This window comes from Homo sapiens, chromosome 1, assembly GCF_000001405.40.
Source record: "Homo sapiens chromosome 1, GRCh38.p14 Primary Assembly".
Lineage (NCBI taxonomy): Eukaryota > Metazoa > Chordata > Mammalia > Primates > Hominidae > Homo > Homo sapiens.
In genome coordinates, this window is record NC_000001.11 from 55,940,638 (window position 1) to 55,951,901 (window position 11,264).

Consider the following 11,264-nt stretch of genomic DNA (forward strand, 5'->3'; position numbering starts at 1 on the left):
CTGTGTGTTCAAATTTTCTCTTCTTATAAGGACACCAGTCGGATTAGATTAGGGCCCACCTAATGGCCTCATTTTAATTTAACCACCTCCCTAATGGCCTTATCTTCAAATATAGTCACATTTTGAGGTACTAGGGTTACGATTTCAACATATGACTTTGAAGGTGGGGAGACCCAAGTCAACCAATAACACTTACTAACGGGGTTTGTGGGCCCATTTGCCATTGTACATTTTCTCATACCTTGGAATCACATTCATCACTGCCACCCTCACATTGAATTTTATACAATACAAGCTTGGCATCACAGTAGCTGCCAAAAACCCATTTTCACAAAGGTGTAACATCATCAAATGGAGTGAAGCATTATCTAATATTGAGACTCACCTAATGGAAACGATCACAAGCTAATACTTTGCAAATGTCAATCATCACTGTGTTTTCCTTTAAAATGTGGGATATCTTGAGGTGTCCCTATGACTTGTGGTGCCAAGAACACCTTACCACACAGTTTGAGAACCATAACAATAGGTAACTTACATATTTATCACGTTGGTCTTCCCACTAACTTCCAGTTTAGTATTGTCCATTTAACTATTTATAAGAGGAGAAAACTGAGGCTAAGGCTGGCTATGTAATTTTACCAAGGTAACACAGTTAATAAATACTAGAATCAGGTCTACTACTCAGTTTTCCAGCACTGCTACTGGCGTAGAGATAAATACTTATATTTACATTGAAAAAATATATACTTAAATAATCACACTTACTGTATTTGTTTGCTTTGGTTATGTATTAGTCCAGGTTCTTCAAATAGGCCATACAAAACTGGGAGTTATTGGGAAGAACAAACGTGATAAATGTGAAAAACTGGGTTGCTCCTAACAACATAGACGTTTGTTAATATAATGCACATACATTGAAAAAATGTATACTTAAATAATCACACTTACTGTATTTGTTTGCTTTGGTTATGTATTATCCAGGTTCTTCAAACAGACCACACAAAACTGGGAGTTATTGGGAAGAACAAACGTGATAAATATGAAAAACTGGGGTGCATAGTGTTGCTTAGTATTCTACATTCAGTCCCACCTCCTTTTAGTGTATCAGTCCTTCCTGCATGTCAGAAAGCTATAAAGTTAAAAGACATTTTTTTCCAGGCTTTTTTGCAGCTGGGGCTCAGGAGACCAATTAGTATTTTTCTTTTTTTTTTAAATTTTATTATTATTATACTTTAAGTTTTAGGGTACATGTGCACAATGTGCAGGTTAGTTACATATGTATACATGTGCCATGCTGGTGTGCTGCACCCATTAGCTTGTCATTTAGCATTAGGTATATCTCCTAATGCTATCCCTCCCCCCTCCCCCCACCCCACAACAGTCCCCAGAGTGTGATGTTCCCCTTCCTGTGTCCATGTGTTCTCATTGTTCAATTCCCACCTATGAGTGAGAATATGCGGTGTTTGGTTTTTTGTTCTTGCGATAGTTTACTGAGAATGATGATTTCCAATTTCATCCAAGTCCCTACAAAGGACATGAACTCATCATTTTTTATGGCTGCATAGTATTCCATGGTGTATATGTGCCACATTTTCTTAATCCAGTCTATCATTGTTGGACATTTGGGTTGGTTCCAAGTCTTTGCTATTGTGAATAATGCCACAATAAACATACGTGTGCATGTGTCTTTATAGCAGCATGATCTATAGTCCTTTGGGTATATACCCAGTAATGGGATGGCTGGGTCAAATGGTATTTCTAGTTCTAGATCCCTGAGGAATCGCCACACTGACTTCCACAATGGTTGAACTAGTTTACAGTCCCACCAACAGTGTAAAAGTGTTCCTATTTCTCCACATCCTCTCCAGCACTTGTTGTTTCCTGACTTTTTAATGATTGCCGTTCTAACTGGTGTGAGATAGTATCTCATTGTGGTTTTGATTTGCATTTCTCTGATGGCCAGTGATGGTGAGCATTTTTTCATGTGTTTTTTGGTTGCATGAATGTCTTCTTTTGAGAAGTGTCTGTTCATGTCCTTTGCCCACTTTTTGATGGGGTTGTTTGTTTTTTTCTTGTAAATTTGTTTGAGTTCATTGTAGATTCTGGATATTAGCCCTTTGTCAGATGAATAGGTTGCACTCACATTGAGATTTTTAAGATGGGAATAAGGTGGAGGTTATTGTCCTGTTTGAGACTTGGACAATTTTTCTGCAGTGGCATCCCAGCAACTGGACTTCAGGCTTACATGTCAAGTCACAGCACTGAGTAGATTCAGTGTTCACTTCCCAGTTACCAAATCTGTGAAGGTTGAGAGCATTTGTGATGACAGCAGCAGATGCCTCCTAATCTGGCTTATTGATCCTTGGCTGTAACCACTGAGGGATGTTCTTAAACTCAAGAGTTCCAGTGGCTGTCTCCTAATTTCCCACATTTTGGACTGCGGCAGAAACAGAAGCTGTCCAGTGTGTGCGTGCATGTGTGTGTGTGTGTGTGTGTGTGTGTGTGTGTGGAGGGGGGTGGTGGCTGGAATCATTCTTGTGATATTCTGGGACATTTTTTGAAGACTCAGCTATTTTCCACATTTTAAGCCCTTAGAACACTTTAGAAAGCCTGAATTCCCTGTTAAAAGATCCTTAAGATACCTTGAGTGATACATGTTTTCTATATGTAAGTTTGGATGATACATTGTAATATGTTAATAACTTAAGAGAGAAAAGCCACTACTTTTGTATTAGAGAAATAGGAAATATAATAGTACATTTCAGCCATCATGACCTGTATGTTTAGAAGGCTCAGGAATTAATGGGCTACTTTCCATTTCTGCTATTAGGATTCATTAAACAGTTAAATGGTTTAGGTGGATCATTTCAAAAATAGACTTTTCTGTATTCTCCCCATTAGCTTTATTTTTGAAGATATAGTCCCACATATATTTCTTGGGAAATACACACACACACACACACACACACACACACACACAACCCTTTAGATGACAGACAATATAACTGAAACTTTTATTTTACCAAGAACATGAGGAAAGAAAGACATGCTATTTTAACACAAATATAAATAGATTCAATAAATCAAACTTGGCAGAGTATCAAAAGAGAAAATCAATTCTGATAATCCTAACTGTAGAGAATTCCCTAGAACTTCAATATGGTCCTGAATTTGGGAAAGTATTTCTCCTAAAGGACTAGTCCCAGCTAAAAGAATTGAGTTGTGCCTTGGTAACTGTTCCCATCAAAGCATGAGGCAGCCTCTGTTTAATAGCCAGTCTGAATGTCACTGAGGCCCAAGCTTGCCTTGTAAACCAGAGAAAGGAAGCAGAGATGTTGTGTGCTCTGAGGTCAGTGGTATCAGTAAGCACCCTGGCAGGCACACGCAAAGGGATAATTGAAAAGGGTTTAATCAAAGGCCCGTTTACAGTTAAGGTCAGGGATAGGGGAACCAACATGGGATGGAGAAAGACTAAGGGGCTAGCAATGGGGGAAGTCATTACTGCCTCTAGTACCGAATGGGCAATACCTGGAACAGCGTGAGCAGTGTAGCCTTGGAAAAGGGTGCACCTGGCAGGAGCTGTAGCCAAAAATGGAGAAAGGCAGCTACTGCTAAACCAGCAGGGCAGCCTAGCTGGCAAAGATAAGAACAAACGTTTCCAAAGCCCATCGTGCCTGGGAAATGTTTCTGATTTCGTAGTAAAACAAAAAACCCTGGATTCCGTGTGACATACTCATTAGGTGTTCTTGGAAATGTTATTTAAATGTTCTGAGGTAGGCTTCTTAGCTTAAAATGGGAATAATAATGTCAAGGATGTCATCAGGGTCAAAGAAAATAGTATATCTGAGAGTTATTCAAAAACTACAAGACAGTGAAATTCCACTCATTTTATCATCATTATTATTATAATCATTGTTAGTATTATAACCTTCAGAGACGCCCATTGATTTTAAAACATTATTTCAACAAGCCATCTTATGACAAATATATGATTTTTCTATGTGCCAGAATATTTCAAAGCTTCACCACTGCTGTCTACCAATATATAAATAGCAGGGCTACAGAGAACTATTAGTACAGTGAAGTTTTCAGAGAGTAAATAGGATACTGTAAGCTTAAAGGAAATGGAGAAAACACAAGTGGCAAGCCTTCTTAGATTTGGTATTCAGGAAAATCTGAAATTTGGAATGTGAGAAGTTGGAGACATGGTCATTCAGACAGTCATTAAACCTAAGGTATCAATATGGCAAACCTATTTCCACCTCATGCACCTACCTCATGTGCCCATGGCACACTGCAGAGCGCAGAGATAATATCAGAACCCAGATCACATTGGAGCTGAGAGAAAACATTAGAATCTTCCTTAATATAGCATTCCAGGCAGATACTGGTAATTAACTGGAGGCAGGAGAGGCGGCACATGAGATGAATCATACTGATTATAACTGGACGCTCAACAGATAGGCAGTATATTGAAATTGACTGAACACTTGGATATTTGTTTGGGCCTCACAGTTTTTAAAGGATTCTGATAAAACAGAAAGTCCAGAAAAGAGCAATCAGTATAGTTGAAAGACCTGGTTATGTTTTCCAGAAAAATGAGAAGACTTGGGTAAGGATAAGAGTAAACTCTTCCAAGTATCTGCAGGGCTATATGCTAAAGAGGGGGTAGATAAGTCCATTGCGAAGTAACTAGAGTTTATGGGTAGAAGTGTCTAAGAGACCTTTATCAGATGTTTAGCATTTAGAGCTAACCAATAATAAAAATGTAGCCTTCCAACATACTAAATTCAGTTGAATCTGGGTGAACCTCTATCAGGGGTGTTTTCAAATAAAATAATTCCTGATTTAGGAGAGTGGGTAAGCTAGATGACTATTAATATCCATTCCACGTGTATATTTCCACAGCCCTAGGTCTTTTTGAGTGCTCAGAGGTGCTTACCAGTTCTCAGAGGGCAGCTGTAAAGGAAAGCTGTATTGGTTCACTTGGGAATCTTCAGATGGGTATAGAATTGGCAAAGTCCCACATAATCCATTTGCCAGCTTTATTTTACAATGTGTTAGCCAGACCTCCCCTAGCCAATATTTTTTGCCCCAGAAGGGAAAGCCCACAATACAGTAAATTACTGATGATGCTGCCAAAAAGGAATTTCACTCTCAGATCAAATTTGGATTAAATGTAGTAAATCCAGGGCATTAGTTTTTAATAATCAAAAAGTTCTGTCAATATGCTTTAAAAGAATAAAATTCCTTCTTTTAAAGGTCCTTTTGATGTAACACTTGAAAGCTGAGATGCAATCAATCATTAACAATGTTTAATATTCTCTACCTTCTAGAAATACAATACAGTCAAGGTGCTGAGGTGTAAAAACTGGCCAAAGCTCAATGCTCATATAAGATGAAACCACTTTTGAAGTATCATTTTCTTACCCACATTCAATTTAGTCATTTCTTCAGTATATCACCTTTATCCATCACTACTTATTTGAACTTAAAGATTTTACCTGATACTTGGGTCTCTAGGTACATGTAGGGGAAAGGAAACATGGTGTAATATCCACAAGAAAAGCAAAGATTAGATTTCTCAATTTAACCTGGCAGCAAAATAGGACTTAGATATCTTGGAATGGAATAGCTAGACATTTATTTAAATTCAAGCAAATGAATCTCAGCAATGCTGCCACTTTTGGGTGGCCAACCTGAAGACAGGAATTCTGTCTTATTTTTCTCTATTTCCTTAACTCTCAGCCCAGTGCTCAAAACATAATGGCAGTCAATATGTATATAGTGAATTGAATAAAATGCAAACTACAAAGTCCTCCCTTCTCAGAGTATTCAATATATGGAATTATCCTTATTTTGTTGTGGTTGTTTTCTAATATGTCTGTCTCCCACACTAGCCTGTGAGCATTGATAGCCCCAAAGAATGATCACTTATGTCACTGTTCCCAGTGTCTAAGTCAGAGCCTGGTGGGCATTCATATGTTCGTTGAATAAATGCTTTCCTCAATGAGTTTATACTCACACACTCAAACAGGCTTTACAGATGAACAGCACTGGTTAGTAGGAAAAACAATGGCTTTCAGAGTGGCTGGAGCCAGCCTAAAGAGTCTTAAATCAACTATTTACTAACCATTTACCCTACAGAAAGATACTTATCCTTTCTGATCTTCAACATCCTCCTCTGTAAAATAGGGAGAATAGCGGTTTAAATATGTGATGTTTATTATTTATAAAACACTTTCATGCATATATTAATTATCATTAGTGTTCATTTTCCCAGTTATATACAGATGTACCATAGGGAAAACAATCATATGACAATTAAGAGGCTTTGGAGTCAGGTTTCCTGGTTTGAAACCCAGACTCAAATTTAGTAGATATATCACTTTAGGAAACTTTATCATCACCTCTGTGCCTCAAGTTTCTCTTCTATAAAATAGAGATACCAATAATACCCACTTCATAGATTGTTCGGGAGTAAAATTTTGTTTTGCATGTGAAGTGCAAAGAACAATATCTGTGTACATAGTACACAGAAAATGCAGTGATTTTTTTTGCATCTTTCTCTTCCTTTATATTGCACATAGAAGTCCTCGAGTATTATCTAGCCCAACATGTAGCAGTTCAAAGCAGAAATCTCCTTCTTATTCTATTCTGACTACATTTTAAAATTATATGATATTGATTCATCTCATCTTCTTTATTAACTTGCTGAGGTCCACAACTAAATTTCCAATTCCTCTTTTACTACAACACTTTTCAGAATCCCAATCCCTCAGTCTCAATGCTGGCCCTGAAACCTAACCCCACTATGGTGAGTTCTATCTCAGTTCATGTTTCCTCCACTTTTCCAGTCACTGATTAAATATTTCAAAATCATTTCCACCTCTTTTTTTTCCTCCCTAACCAATTTTTATCTCAGAATCTTAGTCTTTCTCCATTGTGTTTTCCAAATTCCTTCTTTCTGCTCTATTCTGCTAGTGGCACCCCAGCTCAGATTCATATCATAAACCTAGGCTATTGCATCAGCTTCCTAACTGATCTTTCAGCTTGTAATCCCTCCGTCTCATCTTTCACACCATGGCAAGGCCAATCTTTCCAAAGCACCACTCAGATGTTATGGCTCCCTCCTCAATACAGTAGTGCTCCAGGTTGTTGCCAATGTAAGGGTGAAACTCTTCCTGTTGACATCCATAGCTCCCCTCATCTGTACCCCTTTATCTCTCTAGGACTAAACTTCCAATAAAGGATGTGGGAAAAGTACTAATATTTATTTTATAGACTATTTAAGTGAGGAACTATGCTACACACTTTTGCAATTAAAATGTCATCTCATGCTTCCCACTCCATACTGATTCTCATATATTCATTTGCCCAGCACATGGCTTCCTATAAATGTGAGAACTGCTGCAAGCCACTTTACTTTCAGCAAACTCTACCAGACTTCACTCCTCATTACCCTTTGTGTATCTCCTCTCTACTGGCTGTCACTTTTACCTGTCATATCACCTTCGGATCCTGCCTCCATTTCCTTACTGTGACCCATTGGATCAGCAACAGAGTTTCACATTACTCAAAGGGGCTATGATCTGACATTCCCTTAAGGTAGTCCTTTCATGAACTGTTTCTGGACTCCAAACATAAAAATTACTGGCAACAGGTGCCTCTTTGAATCTTCTGGAACATTGCTAAAGCCAGATGCACATTCAGATTTCTACAAAAGCAATATGAAGTGGGCATTATTACCCCATTTCTCCCAATAAGAAAACCAAGCCTTAAGACAATTAAGTAGCTTGTTCAAGGACACACAGCTAGTGAGTGTCAGATCTAGAACTGGAACCCAGGTGCCTCGAGATAAAATCCTGTGTTATTTTCTAAGTACATGTTTCTTGCGCATATAATAAAATAGGTTACTTTCTTCTATGTACTTACATACTTCAGTACTAACAAACAAACAAAATATCTATTAGGTATGGTGGTAGAAATTATTTTCTGTACCACTCTCCATTCCTAAGTCTTTTGGAATGATACAAACTCTCTGACATCTCAGAATACAGCAGAAATTGCCTTCCTGCACTTTGAAGGCAGCAGGACATAGAGAAAGTGAAAAGACTTATGAACCAGACTAGACAAATCACAATGGACTGACTTGATGGCCTTGAGCAAGTTATTAACTCCCTGGAGGCATTTTCTTATGTAGAAAATGAGAATAATATGTCTTATTTCACTGAGTGGTAAGGAATGAAAACCATATTTTAAACACCTGGGCAAATTGACAAATGTTAACTCACCGTCTCTTCCATTCCATAAATGACTATCTCCTTTTGCTGCCAATAATGAATATATTTTTAAGAAGGAACTTACTCTACCCATATAATTCTAAATCTTCCAATTATAGTCTTCCAAAGAAGACTGAATTCTTCTTTGTTTGTGGGTTAATGTCTTTATATAAAATGACATCTATTGGGAAGAAATGTGATCAAATCAAAGACCAATCTAATTCCTTTTTGTAGATTCATTAAATTATTTAGAGAAGGGAAGAACCCACTAGCTGCCAAAACCTTGAATGGAAGCATAATTTCAAACACTAAACTGTCTTACCACATAAAGAGCAATACAATTCTAACCTCAGAGTTATTCAACCTCAGATGGAGAGAAATTAAACAGAAACGAGTTATATAAGTGAGGAGCCCCATACCAGTTTACAATATTTTCCAGGAATTTATTTATAACAGTCATGGAAAAAATATTGAGCTTCTATTTTGACCTTAATAGTGTATGTGGCAGAGCACCTTACAAAGTTTTCTGATTGGTTTTTACTGTTATTTTATTGTAAAATCTGTGTTTTATCAAATTTTCATGATCAACAAGATTCAGAAGGGCCCTTAGTCATAATCTCAGGCAATATCCCACTCATGTAGGCATCTCATCCTCAGAATCCAAGGGCTGAATAACTACCTCCTACTGGAGAGAAGAGAAAGAGAGGGAAGAGAGAATAAAAAATGACAATAAGTGCTTAGGAAACATCCTACCACACAGGGTTATTAATAATAGTAAATGAGGTTACAGTACTCTTTATTCATCTAGATGTTAATTTCTTTGGGAAAGCCGACATTGAATTTAGTTCTAACAACACTTTTCTAAATTATACTCCTTTGTAAGTTCTTTCTTTCTCTGCCTTTCTGCTAGGATTCCAGGTCTGCACCTGCTTCTCCTCTGATTCTTCTTTACCAGCTATCCATATTTACTCCATCCTGATGAGCTTCAGCTACCACTCTCGAAGTGTGATTCTTAAATCTCTATCTGCAGTTCAGAACTCTTCTGAATACCAGAAACCATAGGTCCAATTGATTGTTGACCATTGCCATCTGGCATTAAACAGGACTTCAAGCATAAATCCAAAACTGAACTCATCAGATTTATCCCAAAGCTCTTTTTCCCCTTGACAATTAGTCAAATAAAAATATAAACCACAAGTGTCTACTTATAGTTTTTATTTTAACATACCCAAGTTCTGGAGTGAAACTGAAAAATTCAATGCATCATTAAAGGAAATAAGAATTCTCAAAAAGCATCTGTCACTACCAAACACCTAGAGTCTGATTAATTTACAACAATCATTTTCCTTTTTAAAAAAGAAAGTTTTCTGAAGTATAATTTATGTGTAAATGACTTTCTTTTCCAAGACATAAGGGAAGAACAGGGAACATATTTACTATCCTCTATTAAAAAATTTTAATTCCAGAAAAATATATTAAAAAGTGAGTTTTAGGCATTGAACAACAAGCAGCAAAAGACTAAGAGAAGGAAATCAAACAAGGTGGGTTCTATGATTGCCCAACTTACAGCCTAGAATTGCAAAGCATGTAGGGAAAACTCAAGTAGATCATGTCTACTTGATCAAGTAGATCATATCTGGGGACGTAAAAGGTGACTAATCTTCATAGATACAGTACCAGAGTGGAGGGAGGTACACACACACACACACACACACACACACACACACACACACAGGTAGAGAGAGTGACCATGAGCATGCTTCAGAGATCTCCAGAGAGGTCCTCCAGATGTTTGACTAAGTACTAATTTATGCATACATGAAAGGAAACAACCCAAATCTAGAAAGAACCATTGGAAATTAGTAAACCAAAAAATTTCCAGAGCTTTCAGAGGGCTGAAGTGGTTTGTGTGACAACCAACCCAAGTGGAAAGACATTGTAATAGAGCATCAGGTCAAATTACCAGAAGACAATCACCATGGTAGTGGGGTTAAACTAGTTCTAGACTTACAGCTACTCTTGACATGCCTTAACAAAGCTTAAAAGCAAACATCAAAAGGATTCAATTGATTCCAAATTACTGCATGCCAGAACAACATCCAATACTATGTAAAGGAATACTACAAAACTCAGCACCCAACAATGTAAAATCACAATGTCTGGCTATGATGGTTAATATTGAGTGTCAATTTGATTGCACTGAAGGATGCAAATTATGGTCCTTGGTTGGGTCTGTGAGGGTGTTGCTACAGGAGATTAACATTTGAGTCAGTGGACTAAGAAAGACAGACCTACCCTTGTTTTGGGTGGGCAACATCTAATCAGCTGCCAGCACAGCTGGAATAAAACAGGCAGAAGAAAGTGGAATAAACAGACTTGCTAAGTCTTCCAGTCTTCATCTTTCTGCTGTGCTGCCCTTGAACGTCAGACTCCAAGTACTTCAGCTTTTGGACTCTTGGACTTACACCAGTGGTTTGCCAGGGCTCTTGGGCCTTTGGCCACAGAGTAAAGGCTGCACTGTCGGCTTCCCTAATTTTGAGGTTTTGGGACTTGGACTGGCTTCTCTGCTCCTCGGCTTGCAGATGGCCTATTGTGGGACTTCATCATGTGATTGTGTGAGTCAATTCTCCACAATAAACTCCCCTTTATATATACCTCTATCCTATTAGTTCTGTCCCTCTAGAGAATGCTGACTAATACACTGACATTCAATACAAAATTAACAGGATATTATAGACCATAATCTGGAAAAAATTAATAGAAACAGACCTTAAATGACAAAAATAATAAAACTATCAGACCAAAAATATGTTGAAATGTTTCATCTTTTCAAGAAGAAAGTGAAAACATAAACAGAATAAGAAGAAAAAATGCAAGATATAAAAATAAGGCGCAAGTGGAATTTCTAGAAAAAAAATACAATGAAACTAAAATAGAAAATAAACAGATTGACTCCTGAAAAAGAAAAATTAACTTGAA

General features: G+C 37.5%; 2 long non-coding RNA genes across 2 annotated transcripts in view; one reads left to right on the forward strand and one right to left on the reverse strand.

The window, feature by feature from the left end:
- LINC01753 (long intergenic non-protein coding RNA 1753) overlaps positions 1-4,326 on the reverse strand; it is a 29,355-nt gene extending 25,029 nt beyond the window's left edge. The window contains exon 1 of the long non-coding RNA NR_147162.1: positions 4,279-4,326. This is a non-coding gene — a long non-coding RNA (long intergenic non-protein coding RNA 1753). The remainder of the gene's footprint in view (positions 1-4,278) is intronic.
- Positions 4,327-4,449: 123 nt separating this feature from the next.
- LINC01755 (long intergenic non-protein coding RNA 1755) lies at positions 4,450-9,482 on the forward strand. Its single transcript, NR_147161.1, has 2 exons — positions 4,450-4,615; positions 9,196-9,482. It is a non-coding gene; the product is annotated as a long intergenic non-protein coding RNA 1755 (long non-coding RNA).
- The last annotated feature ends 1,782 nt before the right edge of the window (positions 9,483-11,264 follow it).